Source organism: Homo sapiens, chromosome 9 (assembly GCF_000001405.40).
Source record: "Homo sapiens chromosome 9, GRCh38.p14 Primary Assembly".
Lineage (NCBI taxonomy): Eukaryota > Metazoa > Chordata > Mammalia > Primates > Hominidae > Homo > Homo sapiens.
Window position 1 is genome coordinate 10,621,053 of NC_000009.12, and position 20,679 is coordinate 10,641,731.

General features: G+C 34.8%; 1 annotated feature.

Moving 5' to 3' along the window:
* Nucleotides 12,831-13,332: an enhancer, noted in NCBI's record as "H3K4me1 hESC enhancer chr9:10633883-10634384 (GRCh37/hg19 assembly coordinates)". NCBI's record gives its function as "activates a minimal SCP1, AML or CMV promoter by ChIP-STARR-seq in naive H9 embryonic stem cells {active_cell/tissue: H9 hESC(naive)}" and the evidence as "EXISTENCE:reporter gene assay evidence [ECO:0000049][PMID:30033119]".

Here is a 20,679-nt window from a genome sequence, read left to right on the forward strand (position 1 = left end):
CCACCGCGCCTGGATAGTTTTTGTATTTTTAGTAGAGATGAGGTTTCACCATCTTGGTCAGGCTGGTCTTGAACTCCTGACCTCGTGATCCACCCTCCTCGGCCTCCCAAAGTCCTGGGATTACAGGTGTGAACCACCGCGCCCAGCCGAAGAGTCATCTTTACGAGTACTTTTCACTATCCCTAGGATTAATCAGACTACTTAGCAGAGTTTCATCTAAGCTATTAAAACATGAATATAATGTGGATATACAATATGAATATGAATGTGATAATGGGGAAAGGATATATTAATGCTAGTGTGTTCTCCCCAAAAAATCTCCTACTGCATCAGGCCTCACTTTCTCAGACACACACATGCAAGCACACCCGGGCATCCACACTCAGAGCAAATGAGGTTACACTTTTCCTTGCTTAGCCTTTATGCTCCTATCCTGAGCTCTAAGGCTTTTGCTTCTGTTTCTCAGACTTCTGTTCCTTATACAGAAATAGACAAACATACACCACACTGGAGAAGTGGGAAGAAATCTGAATGGGTATGAAGAGACTCAGACCAGATATTTCTGGAAATACAGATTGGAAATATAAGATTTGAGGCAGTTATAGTTTCTTGAGCAACTACAAGATGTGGAAAAGTTGGAAAGAAAAGAAAAACACGGTGTGTTATAGAAGTGTCACTGAACCAGGAACTCAATATTTTTTTTGAAGGGTTCATTACTGAAGACTGGATTACATTTCTATTACTTTTTTGTTTTTAAATCTTTTGTCTATTTGGGTAATCAAAAGCTTTCACACCACACCTTAAAGAGCCTGGAATGTGGGGGGATTTTACACACATATACACCATTACACACTGGGACATATATAGTTTTCAAGCAAGCAAATATAGGTTACAAAGTTACATAGTTTATAAATTAATTTGAAAATATGATTATCCTGAAAAGATATCAGCATAATTTTAACATAGATTGGATATATGTTTTCATTTATATTAAATGCCATTGTTTTCTAATTATCACATTTTCTAAATAATATTTTACTTAAATGTGTTTTTTCTTAATGATAACACAAATACATTACTTAAATTGAAGTTTTAGTTAAATGATATTTTTAAAAATCCTTAGTGACAATTATGATACTGCTTCTGAAAATAAAATGTCTACATATTAATATTAATAAATGTAATCAAATAAATAAAATATTTTAAATTTAATTTCTTTCATATAAATATAAACACTTTTTTCATTTTTACTCTAGTAGAAATGCAAAAATTATTATTGAAAGCAAAATTCTTTTAGAGGAGTTAAATCAGTGCTTCTTAGATATTTTTATTTCCAAAGGCTCCACCCTCAATCTCTGCTTAGTAAGTCCTATGCACACTCATGATACAAAAAAATTTAGATTAGACTCATCCAGACAAAAGAGATACCAGTTACATTTTCCATTCTTTCTTGCATTTCCATGTTACCAATAACAGGTGTCAGATAGATAAGATCAAAAGCAATACAGGCCTGTCATACATTTGTTTAAAATACAACCTGTGTGTCTTTTAGTGTTGTGGGAAGGAGGTACCAATTTTAGTGGATTTAACCAAACATATGTTGTGAGAGTGTATTAGTCAGTTCTCACAATGCTCTAAAGAAATACCTGAGACTGGGTAATTTATAAAGAAAGGAGATTTAATTGGCTCACAGTTATGAATGCTGTATAGGAAGCATGAGGCTGGCATCTGCTCAGCTTCTAGGGAGGCCTCAGAAAAATTACAATCACGGTGGAAAGTAAAGGGGAAACAGGCACATCTTACATGGCTGGAGCAGGAGCAAGAATGAGTGAGGGAGGTGCTACATACTTTTAAACAACCAGATCTCATGATAACTCACTCACGTACTATCATGAGAACCACATAGAAGAAATGATGCCAACCCATTTATGAGAACTCTGTCCCCCTGATTCAATGACCTCCCACTAGACCCAACCTCCAACACTGGGGATTACAATTCTACAAGAGATTTGGTGGGAATATAGATCCAGACAATATCATTCTGCCTCTGGCCCCTCCAAATTCATCTTTTCACATTGGAAAATACAATCATGCCTTCTCAACAATTCCCCAAATTCTTAATTCATTGCAGCATTAAGTCAAAACTCCAAGGTTGAAAGTATCATCTGAGAAAAGGCAAGTCCCTTCCACCTATGAGCATGTAAAATCAAAAACAAGTTAGTTACTTCCAAGATAAAATGGGGTTATAGGCATTGGGTAAATACTCCTGTTTCAAAAGGGAAAATTGGCCAAAAGAAAGAGACTACAGACCCCTCACAAGTCTGAAACTCAGCAGGGCAGTCATTAAATCTCAACGCTCCAAAATAATCTCACTCGAATCCATGTCTCCCATCCAGGGCACGTGGGTGCAAGCGATTGGCTCCGGCAGCTCCGCCCCTGTGGCTTTGCAAAGTTCAACCCCTGTAACTGCTCTTGTGGGCTTGTGTTGAGTGCTTGCAGCTTTTGCAGATTCAGGGTGCAAGCTGCTGGTAGCTCTACCATTCTGGGGTCTGGAGAATGGTGGCCCTCTTCTCAGGACTCCACTAGGCAATACCCCAGTGGGGACTCTGCGTGGGGCCTCCAACCCTAGATTTTCCCTCTGCACTGCCTTAATAGAGGTTTTCTGAGAGGGCTTCACCCCTACAGCAGGTTTCTGCCTGGGCATCCATGCCTTTCCATACATCTGAAATCTAGGTGGAGGCTCCCAAGCCACATCTCTTGCACTCTGTGCCCCGACAGGCTTAACACCATATGGAAGCTGCCGAGGCTTATGGCTTGCAGCCTCTGAAACAGTGATCCAACTGCACCTGGGCACATTTTAGGACTGGCTAGAGCTGGAGTGGCTGGGACACAGGAAACAGTGTCTGGAGGCTGCACAGAGTGGTGGGAAAACCATTCTTTCCTTCTAGACTTCTGGGTCTGTGATGGGTGAGCTGTCATGAATATCTCTGAAATGCCTTTGAGGCATTTTCCCCATTGTCTTAGATATTAGCACTAGGCTCCTTTTTATTTATGCAGCTAGCTTGAATTCCTTCACTAAAAATAGGTGTTTCTTTCCTACCACATGCCCAGGCTACAAAGTTTCCAAACTTGAACATGCTACTTCCCTTTTATTTAGATTTAAATGATTTATTTGCTCACACATTTGAGCATAAGTTGTTAGAAGCAGCCAGGTAACAGTTTGAATGTTTTGCTGCTTACACATTTCTTCTGCCAGATACTCTAAATTGTCACTCTCAAGTTCAAATTTCCACAAATCCCTAGAGAGGAAGCACAATGCAGTACCAGAAATAAGCAGCATTGGTGCATGTTAAAACAAAGGAAACAGGGTTTCTCCTTTTTGTAGAAAGTGCTAGTTAATAAGTAAGAAAAGCAATGAAAATTTGTGGGTCCAGATATCAAAGTGCTTCTGAATAGTTGAATTCATACTGCAGAAAATTACAGTTGGTTGAATGCATTTCTCAAAATTATTTGAAGAATGAAACATGTTCCCTTATAATGTTAATTAAAATGCAACAGGTGTGTGTGTGTGTATCCATTCATCATTATGTTACATATGCAAAGAAAAAGACAGTATGTACTGTAATATCTAGGGCTATATTAAACTTTTTGTGTCTGTATTTTCTAAAAGAGAATGATTTAATTATCAGAATTATGTTTTAAATAGATGCAAGTTTAAATTTTATTTGTAATACATTCTGAGAGTTGGTAAGTGTTTTTATTCTAAAATATTCACATTGTTCCCAGTAGAATCGATATAGAATTTATGAGAGCTTAAATTAATTACTATATGCAAATGTTTGCAATAAGCCTACTTGCATAATACTTTCTCTATTTTTCACCATGCCTTCAACCCTACTGTATGTATTACATAGCAAAAGATGGAAAAATGAGTGTTTCACCTTGTTTGAAAAGTTTCACAAAATTAAATTTGGAAGAAAGTCTTTGTATATTTTTTAAGTATCTTCAGATCTTCCTTCTATAATAAAAATTATAAAGATTAGTTTAACTTTGTACATTATGTCTCTTTTCACAAAAAGTGTTTTCAGTCTTAAAAGGAACAAAATGATAACTAAGTATTTCCAGAAATAAAATAGTTCAAGAAGTTCAAACATGTGGACTTTGAATGTTTTTCATATGCATATTATTTTTCTAAATTTACTTAAATTAATCAGAATTGTGCTACTGGAATAACCTTCAAAATTTATAAGGTAATTTGTTTCAAATTGAGTGGCCCACTGAAATTTCAGGTTTTAACAATCCAAATTGAGAAGAGAATTTTAAAGTATAAGAGGAATCACTTAATACTGAGTACATAAATGATGGAACACATTTAAATGTGTGTTTTTTTTAAATCATGTTATTGCTTAGTGTTCTTAAATCTTGTTATGGAGGTTGCAACCTATTGATTGTGTCTTACGAGATTTTATTAGGATATATGAAGAACCATCATATAACTTCTATGAATCACTCTATATTTCTTGAACTAAAGCTAATGATTTTCAAGCACAGAATGAGAACCAATCAACTCATAGCAAAATACTGATTACATAATGGATACATTATTTTCTTATATCAATGTGATGACAGCTTGATTTCTAGCTTGTTTTTGATAAACTACAGTGAGTAGAATTCTAACTATAAAAATATGTTCCTATGACATATTTTCTAAACAAAAACAAGGTAAATGACAATAACAAATTTCATTTGTTTTAATTTTAAGTATTATAAGTCATTAAAAGGTAAGATGCTATAGATCAGTATTTTAAGAATGCAGTAATTAACTTGAATAGTCATAACTTTCTGAAACACAAAAAGAGATAAACATGGGTTAGGGGCTTGTTTGTCCTTGTAGTTAATCTGCATTGTATTACTTTATTTCATTTTTCCAGTTGAAATAGAAATCTCTTAAGGAAGATGATGCTTTAGCAAAGGAATTTTATGGGTTATTTTTTCCCCTTTTGAAGTTTTCAGTGGACGTAGCTTTTTGAGATAATTATTTTCCCTGGTAGCGGATTCCCAAGATAAGGAACTGACTTTTCCTATTACAAGTACTAATTTCCTAAGTGGTTTTAGTGGTTTGAACATTTGTCCAGGACTAACAAGAAAGAAACCACCAGCATGTATCATATAGACCACCAAAGAGCCATCAGACTCAAGTGGCTTTCAGTCACCATCAACCTCAGGTCTCTGAAAAATACAGTTTCACAATTTTTGCTTGTAAGTCTTTCTATCTTTCTGCCTGATATTACGTCCCCATATTTTAAGGTCTACATATAAAGATCTTACAATAAAATATCAAAATAGTGAACCAAATATTTTAAGATTGAATAGTATCATCAGAGCTCTGTTCCACGACCTGCCTATTATCTGGCAAGTCTGAGTTTCTTGCTCCCATTTTGCAGGTGAATCAGCAGAAGATAATTCACTTTTCTGCATTGAATTGTAAGTAGCAACTTTAGTAAGAATTACTTTCCTTAAAAACAATTATGGAAGGCAATGAAATATAATGTTTATATGTGTGAACTAAAGGAGCCAAACTGCCTAGGTTCAAATCCTTGTTCCACTTGCCAGATGTTTAACTCTTGGTAAATAATTTGGTCTTTATGAGAGTGTATTTCCTTAACTTTCCTTCCAGGTAACTTTTCTTCTCCATATAATGGGCATAATAAATGTTCCTGTTTCCTTCTCTATAAAAATGAGAATAAAAATAATATCTAATTCACAGGATTGTTGCTAGGAATATGACATATAAAGAAATGATGACTGGTAGGCAGCATATGAGAACTAATTCTTGCTATGGTAAAGAATACGGATGAACTATATTGCTCAGTTTCCCTTGCCAGACATTTCCTCTTTCATTGCTCCTCTTCTTTAAGTGTTCAAAGTAGGTAACATTTGGAGGGTCTGTCAAAACCACACCTCTGCCTTAAAACTACTCCTCACCAGCACTTCCCAATATAGGGACTCTATTGAAGAAAATACTCCTCACCAGCATTTCCTGCTAATGAACTCTATTGGCACCACCTACAACATGATCACAGCTGATTATCTAGGAGGGGAAAGCTGATCTACGGGAAAACAGAACGTCTTATTTGCTACATTTTGTGTTCTGAGGATTTGATTAAAGAGATCCAAAAAACATAGTCTAAAGGGCATGTGTTGTGGAACTCGGAAGTTTTGTGGATTTGGAGCAGGCAAACCTATTCAGCCATGTATTCACAGAAAAAAATTAACTGAAACAGGGAAGAAGAAGAAAGCACCTGGGAGATGGGGAGAGAAGAGAGTCCATGCAGTTATTGAGAGTGATGTCTCAGCCCCTGACTCTCTTTCTTTACCTCATTTAACCTTGTAAAAAGGCTGGCAAAAATCTGTCTTCTCAACGTGAATTTAAAGAAAGCTGTGCTCACCTAATAAATTTGAACTTGGATGAGTGATTTCTGTATCTTCCAACTAAATGATCTCTACCTCAAACAGGTGTTTTTACATTGCAGAACCGTAAGCATATCATTCTGTGAAAAATGCATTATGGGACAAGTACAAGCAAACTGTGGAGGATGAGAGGAGTGAGTTGATTCCAGGCCATGCCACGCATTTCTGTGCTGAAAATGAACTTTTGAAGAACTTGTTTCTCTCATATTCACAATAGATATTTGGAAAGAAGCCAATAAACAGCGATTGTGAAGCAGAAAGAAAAAAAGTTTGCAGAAAATCTATACAAGTGTTTAGAAGGGACAATTTAAAACAGGTAGGCTTCTACAACAGCATGTTTAAGTAGTTGACAAGGTCGTTTCAGTTTACTCAGAGACTTGGAAGAGAAGGAGCCAAGGAAGAAGACAAAATGATAAGGATGACGATGATACCTGTATTTTAGTGAAAGCAGTAACATCATAGGAAGCCTGCAAAGCAAAATATAAAAAACTCAAAGGATTATTTGTAATAGATTTGAGGCAGAATACTAATTCTGCCTTAGACAAATGAATTTATCTCCCAACTTTCAGCCTTTTCACCCTAATAACAATGTTTATCATGTAGGATTGTTATGAAGATTAAAAATAAGGACTTTGTCCTCAAGAAGACCTGGGTTCCCATCCTGATTCATAATAAAGGCTCAACATTATTTTTTTCTTATAATGATTTTTATAATTGCTTCCAAATCACTGGGGTTTTTAATGAAAAGAGAAATGGATATCTAGCTTCAATCAACAAGCTTCAAAAAACAAACATAGGGATTTTAGCCCAGAGTTTTACTACAATTATTCCTTATTTATTATTAAATTGTTTGAAATTATTATTCATTATTAAACTGTTTATAGTTTATCCACATAGTGGCTTGCATTTCTGAATAACACATCAGATATCGAGAGACATCAGACCTCTGTAATCTTTATTTGCTCACTTTTGTAATGGCCTATCTCTCAATCCTACATTGCATTTAAAACATAACTCCTTTTTTGCTCATAATATGAACACTTGCGGTATTTATTCCTTCAATTATAATAGGGACTCGTAATTTCTCAAATGAAATCTTAAATCCTTAGTGAATTCTTAAGTTAATTTATAAGGAATTTTATAACTTTCATGCTCTATAATGACTAGCATCTTGTGTGAGTCACTTAACCTCTCTAATATCAGTTTCTTCACCTGTAAGGTACGGTTAATAAAAACTAACCCTTATTATGTCACCAAGTTTTTGTGACAACTATATCTCACTGGTAGAATCCTGGGAAATGTCTACAAACTCTACAAGGCCAGCTACCATCACAAAACAAACAACCACAGCTCAAAGTGGTAAGTTTTATCAAAAAGTCTATATATAATCAATCCTGTTTTTATATTTTATATATTTTTCACCATTTCTCTAAATTCAGCCCTCTCTATTCACCATAAACCCATGTCCCAAAAGAGGAAGTAGAGAAGAGCATCACTGTGCACATTAAGGAAAGTTAAATCACAAATGAAAACTTCACCACCAATGTGAGAGAATCTGCCTTTTCAGTGACTCATGACCAGTCAATTATATTTGGAGTCCTTCTTTGAGAATAAGATACTACATTTTCCTTGGCACTGACAGTAGGGTTGCAGTATATGCTTCTAATTGCCTACCCAATATTCATCCTCATATTCTTTCATATTAATCTGAGGGTATTGGGGGTGGGGAAATAAGCCTAGATAAAATTGGTCATCTTCCAAACACCCTTATTGATTGTTGCCCACGGCAAACAACTCTGGCCAATTAAATGCAAGAGTCACCTAGTGGGGCTTTCTGGAAATTTTTGACCAAAGAACATATTCAGTTTTTATGCTCTCTTTGGCCTTTTCAACTTCTGGCTTCTAGTCAGGAACCCTGACACTATGCCTATGAGATTGAAAGGATGATAGGTAAAAGATAAATGACATCCAGGTGCCTGCTATCATCACTGAGGCAACCCTAGACTGCCAGACTCCTAACTTCTTGTTCCATGTAGAAACTAAGTCTTTATCATTGTAGGGCACAGTTGGTTGAACTTTCTTTCTTATGCCCATAGCCAAAAGTGTTCATCACTTTAACTGAAATCATTTTCAAAATTCTAATATCAAGATATAAGTGATTGTTATTAAATTTATTTTATAATATGAATATGAAAAAGATGAAGAAAATGCAAAATATTTTAAGATGAATGGAATTTAAAATGTTAATTTGCAGATATATTAAACATGCATGCAAAGGAACAAGAGAAAATAGAGAACATAGTAGAATCAGTGAGTCAGGTTTAAAATGAATATAGTTGATCAGGCTTCAGTTTGAACCCTCCTTTAAAGCCTCCTCAATAGAAGGCACCAGTAAAAGTAGAAACCCTTCCTTTGTTAAGGCAATGTGCACATTTTCATTATTCATTTTATTATGTTATACACACACACACACACACATATATATACATACACATATATATTTCTTATAAATCTATGAATTACATTAAAAATCTAAGAAAGCAAAGGGAAAAATAAAGATTGCATAAGATTGTGAGGAAGAAGTATTTCGGTTACCAATTTGATTTCACAAATGATCTGCTTACTCCATTAATTTAAGGTCACTTGTTAGATTTATGTCAGAGCAACTTCATGAATCTACATTAAACAATAGGAAGACAAAGGCACTTACAGCAATTACACTTTCGAAAGAAGATCAACTGATTTGTGTTCATTCTAAATAATATGGAAGCAATTATTATTCAGTTGCTAAACTGTATATCTTGAATCATCACTTCATAGTATTTTGAAGTTAAAAAGGAACTTTAAGAATGTACAGTTCAACTCCTTTTTCTCCATTATGCAAAAACTGAGTACTGCAACAGTATTGGAATTACCCAAAGACCTTCTTTCAATTCAATTATTTCAGGAAAAAAATGTCAACTTCAGGTCAACTTTTATTTCCTGTTGCTAATAGTACTTGAATTGTCTTCTCCCAACTTACAACTAAAAGTAACTATAGGCCCAGCGCAGTGGCTCACACCTGTAATCCCAGCACTTTGGGAGGCCGAGGTGGGTGGATCACCTGAGGTCAAGAGTTCAAGAACAGCCTGGCCAACATGGTGAAACCCCGTCTCTACTAATAATACAAGAATTAGCTGGGCATGGCGGCACATGTCTGTAATCCCAGCTACTTGGGAGGCTGAGGCAGGAGAATCTCTTGAGCCTGGAAGGTGGAGGTTGCAGTGAGCCAAGATGGCACCACTGCACTCCAGCCTGGGCAGCAGAGTAAGACTCTGTCTCCAGACAAAAAACAAACAAACAAACAAAAAACTATAAAAATGGTAACTGTGAATAACACTAGTAGAGTTTTAATATTGAAATCTAAGAATATAAAGGCATGTAGGCACATAAGTAACTAGAATCCTTCATTCACTTGGGCATTCAAAGGAGCAAATTATCTTGAACTAAGGCATAGTTAATAAAAATTCATTCTTGTTTCCTTTCAGAAGCTAATTTTTCAAATAACAATGAGCATTAAAGACACTTTCTTTTTGCATATTAAAGGAGATTATTTAAATGCTTTATATTCATCTGTCAAATTATGATAAAAGAGATATTTTACATTGCATGTTCCCTTGGCATCCTTTGGTTCCATGAGATCAATGGAAGTTATATATATCTTACTAGTAAGAATTTACCTTTATTTTTTCTTGGATTTTCTGAAACTCAAAGGACACTGCAGCTCCTGGACAAAGTTTCTTTTCATTAACATTGAAAACTAAAGATAAAAGGAAACAACAGACAGTTTGGTTGACAATTTAACTAATAACTTATGGTAACAGCATGCAAAAGGTTTTTAACTCACCTGAATGGTTTTTGTTTGCTTCTTTGTTTTGGTCTATAGATTGAACGTTGGTAAAAGAGCAAGCAACCCTACAGCTCCCAATCTATTTTCTGAAGGGTTAAGAGTTGTGCTACTCTCAACACTTTCTCCTTCTTTCCCCCTCTGTATATGCCTATCTGCTTCTTTCCTTCCCCTCTGAGAGACTAATTTCTAACACAAAACACAGCTAAAGAAATGTGATTATATGGCTGAAAAAAACAATCAGCTCAAGACAAGCATCATAGTCAAGGGTAACCATAAGAATAGCAGTGCAATATTGGAGAGAGATGAGAGATGTCAAGAATGTTAGTTTCTTTCTTATATTGGGCAATAATATTATTTAGCAGAGAAAAAAAAACTAGACAATCAGAGTAATCACTATGACTGTGATTCATATTCCGAATTCCATAATACGTTTCAAGGATCTGAAGAACTCCTTGTAATTATATGTAAGTTTCTCTATTTACACACATCTATGCAGTATATGACCATTTGATTGCAAACAACAGAAATACAACTCAAAATTGTTTAGAGAAAAGAGGTAGATTTGTTGACTCATAAACAAAGCAGATGAAAGAACACAGGAGAAATTTCAGCTGAAACAAACCAGGAACTTCGGTATCATTAAAATCTCTGTCCCTTGTCCTTTTCTCACAAAAAAAAAAAAAAAAAAAAAAAAAAAAACCATACTGGTTTCATTATATCCCACTCAAACCAGGGTATCTATGACACATTGGAACATGGCTGGATTCAGGTTTGATTCATACAGTGAAGGCTTGGCAACTAGAAAAGAGATTCTGCCACAATTTCCAATTACAAAATTCCTGTGAAAGTATGCTTGTTGGTTAAGTTTGGGTCATAAATGGTTCATGTTTTAATTATGGTGTCCAAATAAATGTAATATTATTATTTTCCCAGTTCAAATTATATACACAACAAAATTGATCATAATGGAAGAAGCTATGATTAGCTTAATACATTTAAAGCAAATGACTTGAAGAAGAACTTCTCAAATTAAGAGAGGGACTATTTGGTTTCTACACTAATCATTTTTTTTTGTAAAACTGGTTAGCCTAGCACAAGCACACAGACACAACATATGCCAAAGATAGTGTGGTGATATTGCTAAAACTTTTGATTACAGAATTTATATTCATCTTTTAACTTTTGACTACCTCACTAATTTCTTATTTAGACTGCGGTTTTTTATACTTATATTGATCCAGATATATACAATGCCTAAAAATTTTAAGCCCAGGGGATAAAATATAAAACAAGAACCAAATATAGATTCCCTTCAAAAGAATGAATAAAATGCTGGATAAATTATATCTGGGCCATCGTTAACCTATTTTTAAATGAAATTTTCAGTTTCAGAACCCATTTTTAGTTTTGGCATGTTCCTTATGTGAACATGTATTATATTTCATGTAGTCCTATGTTATCTGTAATTTTTCTAATCTTATCCTTTTTCTTAATTTCATCAAATTATAAAAATGTGTTATTTTAATGAAAACAAACAACTCCAAATACAGAAATTTACTGAGTAAAATAATTAAAGTCTTAGCCTCTATTACCTGCTCATCCCCCAGAATGAGTCACTGTTAAAAGTTTATAGAATAGCTGTTTAGATATTTTTCTTTACATATGCACATATAATCAAACACTCTTAAATTTTTGATTATACTAAAATATCATATTAGTATTTATCTGGTACTAGCTTTATTCAGGCAATAAAAATCAAGGATTTCCTCTTTTTAAGTACTATATGCTAATTAGCTCAGATTTTTAAAATTGTACAATATTCCATCATGTTAATGAATGCTACCAAATATTGGGCATATAATATATGCTGGTTAATATTCTGAACACTTTAAATATAATACATAAATCCTAACAAAAAATCCATGATGTGAGAATTAATATTGTAGCTCTTTTATTGATGGGGAAAATGTGGCAAACTGAGCTTATTTTCCCAATACTTTACCTAGCCATTCTTTTAGTGCTGGATTTTCAGGAAATCTTAAATATTCTTACTATTATAAATGCTACACTGGAAAACTTTCGCTGTAAAAAGAATTGTAAGATTAATTTTTAGAATTGCCCTTCAAAATTGCTTACTGTCCACAAATGACACTGACTAATTTAAATCTTTTAATGTTTTTGTTAGTCTGAGAGGTAAACATTTGTACTTAACTGACTCTTGAATTTATCGTTCTTGGATGAAAAAAGTATATTTTCATGGATTTTTAAATGACATAAACATGTGTTTTACATATAGATTTGCTTATATTCTTACCCATTGCAACTGGGTTATCTTTTTCTTAATGATCTATAGTTCTCTCTCTCTCTCTTTTTTTTTATTTTTTATTTATTTTTTGAGGGGGCATGAAAATGAAAACATGTCACTCAGATATTCTCTGTGGGGCGCCATAGTGACTACTCTTGGTCACCCCGCATTGCTTCTGTGGATCTACTGTCACATTTTCTCCCATAGAATGCTTTTCAAGAGCTACTCCTAGCCAATGGCTGAGCAGCAGGAAATACAAAGGCAGGCTCATTCCAGTGAGAATTGCCAGTTCTTTAGGTGTGACTTTGGCTGGAAGGCTTCCCAGCAGGCTGGCAGAAATTATCCTGTAACTATTTACTTGAGAGTATTAGACTCTTCCTACCTAAGCCTCTTATATTCTCTCTTCACATTGTCTCCAGCATGGGGTCTAAATACCCCACCATCAACTGTGACTCGGTGTTTGCTTTTAGATTAATATAAACTAATGCACTATCCAGTTTTATTTATGAGAGTCTTTTACTATATAGAAGTTTCTTACTTTTGTTTCGGTTTTGATTTTTGTCAAAATTATCTTTGCCACTAAGGTTCTACCTTTCATCGATGCCTTAGAAAGATTTTCTGGGCCGGGCGCGGTGGCTCACGCCTGTAATCCCAGCGCTTTGGGAGGCGGAGGTGGGCGGATCACGAGGTCAAGAGATCGAGACCATCCTGGCTAACACGGTGAAACCCCGTCTCTACTAAAAATACAAAAAAATTAGCCGGCCGTGGTGGCGGGCACCTGTAGTCCCAACTACTTAGGAGGCTGAGGCAGGAGAATGATGAACTCAGGAGGAAGAGCTTGCAGTGAGCCAAGATGGCATCACTGCACTCCAGCCTGGGCAACAGAGCGAGACTCCATCTCAAAAAACAAAAACAAAAAGAAAGAAAGAAAGAAAGAAAGATTTTCTAACACATATTTGGGGAAAAAAATTGTTTTATTTTTTGTTCCAGTACTTCTATGGTTTTAAAATTTTCTTTAGTCCACATACCCAGTTTAAGTTGTTTAATGGTGTAAGATAAAATTCTAATTTTAAACTATTTTCCAGATACATAGTTTCCCCAATATCATTTGTGGAAATAACCAATCTGTTCCCTACCACAGTTAATCACTAAATTCCTATAGAAATATGTATTTATTTCTTGGTGCTTTCATAAGTTCTGATTTATTTGTAAATATTTACTGTAATTTTGAAATAACGTGTGGAAATTTGGTGTAGTGTATTTCCACCATTTTGCTTTTTCAAATTCTACTTTGCTCTTTTTTTTTTTTTTGGCTATTCTTCTATTCTTCTATATTTATTTCTTTCAACTGAATATCAGAATCAATTTACATTAACAAACAATTTGGACACATTCTTGAAATTATACTTCCTATCAATTCACTGAAGGTACAGAAGACTTAAATATTTAAAATATTAATTCTTCCCTTTCAGAGACATGGTAGATTTCATAATACATTCAGGTATTCTTCTTTCCCTTTTGTAAAGTTTCATAGTTTTTGGCATATAGTGCTTGTTGTTGCTTGTTAAATTGAATCCTAGGTGTTTTATAGATTTTGCTCTAATGCTTAATTTACTTTTAAAAGTCTTTTATTGATGCTGTTGTTACAAGCCATTGAATTGCAAAGAGTTTTATGTATTTTCTGAACATAATATTTCTATTCATAACCATAAAACCACTATTTTTTCAAGATATGAAAAAGAAAATTAACTAGAATTATTTGAAATTAACCTTGGCTGCTTGGCAACTTGGATATTTTTCCTATCTCATTTATAACTGAGCCATCAAAATCAACAGTTCCTATTTATTTGCTCCATATTTGGATTATCCTTGAAGAATCGTGAAAACTAAAATTTTTCAAGGACTAAGACTAATTTTACATCTTTTCATATCTTAGCTTTACCTTTCATTTAATTTGCATATTTCTAAAACATAGAAACAGTTATTTGGTACCTTGTTGAAAATATAATTATTGGAGGCAAGCCAGAGCAAGGCAAAATGCATAATTTACATCATCTTATCAGCTCTTAAGTAGGACACATGTAATAGGACCCCAGATTACGTTCCATGCAACTGAACATATTGTTGTGCAACATTTTAAGCAAGCTCTCCAAATTCTAATCCTAGTGCACTAGTTGTTTCATTATTAAGTGAAATATATCAGTAACATCTTTAACACTTTGATTTGGGGATTTGAACTTAGAAGAGTGAAGCATCATGATTGCTCTGACACACAATTCCTGTCATTTAATAAAGACACTCATTATCTTTTGTTGAAAGCAAAACAAAAGAAAAGATTGCCTGGCTACCCAGAAGTGGAGACTATTTATGAATGAATGGTTCATAGAAGTTTAATTAATATTGTCATGTTACATTTAAAATTTTTATTCAGTACATGTCAAAAACGAATTTTGGGAAATAAGGCAGAATAGCTAGTGAACATCTTAAAACATTTTACTTATCAGAGGGCACACTATATAAAGGTGCTGAAATAAAGTGGCTACAGGTATGTGCTTAAAGAACAAAAACTAGAATTTGTCTAATACTTTACAGTTTTTGAAGCATATGTATTGAGTTTCATATTCAGCCGCTCAGTATTTGGATCTGGCTCAGCCTAGGTCCCTTGGAAACTCTGTGGCACTAATTTGTTCAATGAACATTGTGTTTGCCCTTGCCTACACCCAAGCAGATCTTAGGGTAGATTTTATAGTTATAAAGAAATGACTGCTTTAAAAAGGGCCTGAGAGGTTTCCTACTTTTCCTTGTTTTTCATTGACCTTATTCCATTTTTTCATTGATTTCCTGTTTCCTGTTCATGGTTATAAGAAAGAGCATATTTCTTCCAACTTCCTCCTCTTGGAATAGAAGAAAATAAGACAATTAAAAACATTGGAAGATTTACTTAATTATATATACTCTTCCAAGTGACATATATATGTATGTGTGTATGTGTGTGTGTGTGTGTGTGTATACACACATAAGATATATATCCTTCCATTAAATCCTTGTGACTATTTTTATTATCACCATTATTCTAATGAGAAAACTGTGGCTTAGTGAGTTTAAATAACTTAACCCAAATTCATATAATAGTAAATCCTGGAGCCAGAGCTCTGACTACAGTATTTATTCTTTGGAGAAAAGTCAGGTGAAAATGGTACCAAATATTTGCCCGGGAGTGCTCTAAACCTTTAACAACTGCGAACTACTTCTGAGCCACTTATACATTCATTCATTAACATTTATTTTGTGCATATAATATGTGCTAGGCCTTGTTCTAAGCACTGGGGACATAGCAGTGCTGACAGTGCTTACCTTAAGGGTAGAGAAAAAGACTATTTACATAATGCATTTATATAAATAAGAAATATCAGTGCTTGGAAGAAAAACAATTTTTAGAAACCCAAGGTCATTTGATAAAAAGCGACTGGTCTGGGTTGGGGTGGGGAAGCTGTAGACTCAACGATCCGAAAAGAACAATCTCAGTGTGTTTCACTAACAGTAGGAAGGTTTCTGTGAGTGAAGTTAAGCAAACAAGTGGAAAGAAGAGAAGAAAGGGGTAGGCAGGAGAGAGAACTTCTAGGGCCAAAGACAAGAATAAGGTGTTTGGATTTTACTCTAAGTGTGATAGTAAGAAAATTTATTACATCATGTAAATATGCTTTCCTATGAAAAATATTTTTTTCTCCTCAAGTATTCTAATACTTTTTCCAAGGTCAACTGCAGGACAAAATAAAATATACCATTTTAAAATAATGTATTTAAAGTATTAAGTTTATGAAGTTTTCCCTAGAACACAGGGGGAAAGGCTACCATTTAAAGCAAGATAACTCTGATCCTAACTCAGATTTAAAAGAAAAAAATATGTAGCACTGCCTTCTGGTTGACTACAGTCTGGCTAGTAGACATAAAAATATGAATTTCATAGTAACTAGTCTTTTGGCTTACAGATTTGCTCTTATGATCTATTTTAACAGATAAATCAGCATATTTTATTTACCCTATGAATTACACTTATTTCCTCCCTGTGATAGCCAGAATAATGCCACCCCATAGATGTCACACACTAATCTACAAAAACCTGCAGATACATGAGGTTACATAAAAAGGAAAATTAAGGTTTCAGATAGCATTAAGGTTGTTAATCATCTGACCTAATAATATTCATATTATTTTTGATGATCCAGTGGGCCATATGGAATTGCAAAGGTCCTTATGTGTGGAAGAAGAAATTAGAAAAAGAATGATAGAGATGCTGTGTAAGAAAAATGAGGCCCGACATTGCTGGCTTTTATGATGGAGTAAGGAGACCATTACCCAGGAAAGAGGGTGGAAAAGTGGCCTCTAGAAAGTGGAAGAGGAAAAGAAACAGATTTTACCCTAGAGATTCCAGAAAAGAGCATAGGCTTGCAAACACCTTGGTTTTAGTCCAATGATGCTCTTCTGTTTTACACAAAGCATAAGATAATAAATTTGTCTTGTTTAAGCCAGTAAAGTTGTAGTAACTTGTCACAGCAGAAAAATGCATAAAAATATTATACCCTCTCATCTAGAATGTAATCACTAATATGGCTTGAATTTTTGTTTCTTGAATTACTGAACTATGCTTAATACCTAGAACAGTGTTAGGTATTTCCTATAAAGATTTGCCAAACGGATGACTGAATGAATTATACCAACATTCTGCTCAAGACCACTCAATGGCATTTTATTTCATTGATTGTAAAAGAAAAAATCCTACAGTTCTACCAAATCTTCACTGCACTCTCTAGTATACTACTTTATTAGTTTTATCTTCTTGTAGATTTCTTTCTGAACACTATACCTCAGCAGTAATGAACTCCTTTTAATTTCTCTGGATATTGAGTATGCTCCCATCTCTGAGATGTTGTTCATTCTATTTCCTCTGCCTGGGATACTTATTCGCACATATCCCCCTGTCTTTCTGTATCACGTCCTTCAGGCCTTGCACAGCATCCATTTAGCAGTGAAGTCTTCTCTGACCAAACTATTTAGATTGTGGCCCCTTGGCACATCCTTTTCCTCTGCTTTATTATTCTCCATTGCCTTATTGCTGTCTGCATATATTCTTATTAATTATTTGCTTATGTCTATTCCTCATTAGAACATGAACTCCAATAAGGCAATTTTTTTTTCTGTTTCCTTCTCTGATATGCTTGGCATATAGCAGATTTTCAACAGGTATTAATTGAACAGATCTTACTGTGCCAACATGGGTCTGTCTTTAAATGCCACATACATGGCTAAAGCACCTCAAAAGATCACTCCTGGAGAGACTGTAATTTATTCAAGAAAACAAAGATTGACAGGGTGTAGGTTAGAGTCTGAAATCTGCAGCACTGCTCAGCAACGGTCAATTGAAAGGGAGCCAAAATGTCTGCAGAAATACATTAATAAAGACTTTAAATGTTAATATTGTTTTCTGAGTAAGAGCATAAACAAAGATTAAGACTTTAAAGTAATTTTAGTGAAACAAGAACCAAGCAATTCAGTAAAGATTACATGAGGCAAGAGAATCAAGAGGCACAATAGTGAACCAGAAAAAGCAAGGCCGTGTGCTTAGCCACCTAAGTTACATGTTACCTGGGTTCTCTGATAGGAAAGGAATAGATAGTGATAGAAGAAGCCATTGCACATCTATTTTGGTTTATATAGCACAAGGCTGAAGTGTACATTGTTGTTCCCATTTCCGAGAACATAATAAGCAGCTTTCATCAAATTGTATTGGTATCGTCACAAAATCCCAAGCCCCTTTGAATGAGACATTGAGATTATCTGGAAAAATGCACAATATTACTGATGAGGCAAGATCCTACTGCTCAAATTTCACTGACTTAAATAGGACATCATCTTGTCAGAATTCAGCCCCTGCGAGTCCAGGTAAGCCCTACAACACACTAACCATACTCTCTGTCAGTACTATTATCTGTAACATTATTACAATGTACAGCAACCAGTCTTCCACTTGTTCTATAGGGGAGGCAAAACTTTACTTCTACTCTTGTAGGGTCCTGACTGGGCCTGAGAATTAAATTGACATAAGCTAGAGCAACATGAGAAAAGCATACAATTTAATATGAGCATTATGTGATAAAACGTATTAGTCTGTTCTTGCATTGTTATAAAGAACCACCTGACACTACGTAATTTATAAAAAGAAAAAAAAAGAGGTTTAATTGGCTCACAGTTCTGCATGCTGTACAGGAAGCATGCCTGAGGAAGCCTCAGAAAACTTACAGTCATGGTGGAAGGTACAGAGGAAGGAGGCACATTTTACATGGCCCGAGCAGAAGGAAGAGAGAGAGAAGGGGAAAGTGCTACACACTTTTATAGACAACCAGATCTTGTGAGAACTCATTCAATATTACAAGAATAGCAAGGGGGATTTCTATGATCCAATCACCTCTCACCAGGCCCCTCTTCCAACACTGGGGATTACAATCTGATATGAGATTTAGGTGGGGACACAGTCCCAAGCCATATCACATGGAAAGACTCATAAGGAAATAAAGATTCAAAGAAGTGGCAAAACCTAAAGGTTTTATATTAGTTTGGACAAAGAGAGACAATTGTTTAAAAGTAATTGTATTATCTGGGGACACTAAAGGAAGAAAAAAATTACTTTAACACTATCTTTACAGATTCTCTCATAGATGACTCCCCAGGAAAGAATGTTTCTTTTCTTCTGGTACAGGGAGAGCATCTTTCACTTGAGAGTTTTTATCTCCAGGTTTCAGGAAGAAAGGAGGGATTAGAATGCCCTTTTTGCATTTGATCTTTTTCAGGTGCCTTTAGGTCAAAGTAATCCTTATATCAAATTTGCGTATTTTGAGGAACATATTCTGCTACCCTTCAGTTTCAAATGCAGAGCATGGCTGTGCCAACAAGGGAATCCCTGAAGTTTCTTTTGCCACCTAAAAAGAAAGAGAACATACTCAAACTGCTTTCCATGTTTCCTGCCACAAACAGAGCTTTGGATACTGAGATTTAATGGGCTGTGAGGAGGGGGGTGTGTGTGCCTTCTTGAAGAGGCTGAAGTTTAGATTAACCATTAACATAGTAAGCAGATGTTCATTGACAGGAGAGATGAGTGGGAGCTGTTTATTATTATTATTATTATTATTATTATTATTATACTTTGAGTTCTAGGGTACATGTGCACAACATGCAGGTTTGTTGCATATGTATACATGTGCCATGTTGGTGTGCTGCACCCATTAACTCATCATTCACATTAGATATATCTCCTAATGCTATCCCTCCCCCCTCCCCCGACCCCACGCTGATCCTTCTCAGATGGTGTTCTCAGCTCACTAGTACGTTTTTATCGAATACCAATAAATTAACCTTCTTGTTTCGGTTGTTCTAAAGTATGTCCACACAGTTCTCCCTATTTATGCCTTTATTTTCATCCTTCGCTGGAGTTGGGCTGACATAATCCCGTTAAATCAAGATATCAGAACAGATGGATTCTATCTGTGTTAGACTGGTTTTCCTTCTTCTTCTTTGCATTTGTCATGTCCAATTATTTTTGTACCCACCTAACAGCAATATTATAACAACTAGCATTTATATCACTATATACAATGGGCACAATAGCATTTCATAAGCTGCTTTTGGTTTAAAATTTGCAATAACTTTGTGAGGTAGGTCACTAGCCGCATTTTGCAGATAATTAAAATAAGAGGTAGGTAATTTTCTTAAATTATAAATTTCAAATGGCAAGAAAAACATTTAAACTTGTATTTTAGGACCCCAAATCAATGATTTTATATTAATTGAAAATATACCTTTTTGATTTGTTAAATGTCTGTAGAACAGAAGCAAAAAAACTATATTTTTTACGTTGCATTTACTTCTTCTCTAGTCAAAAGTAACAGAGATAAAGCTAAATAAAGATGATTATTGGTATTATGCATATTAAACTCATTTTTTAAGCCCATTAAAAGGAAGG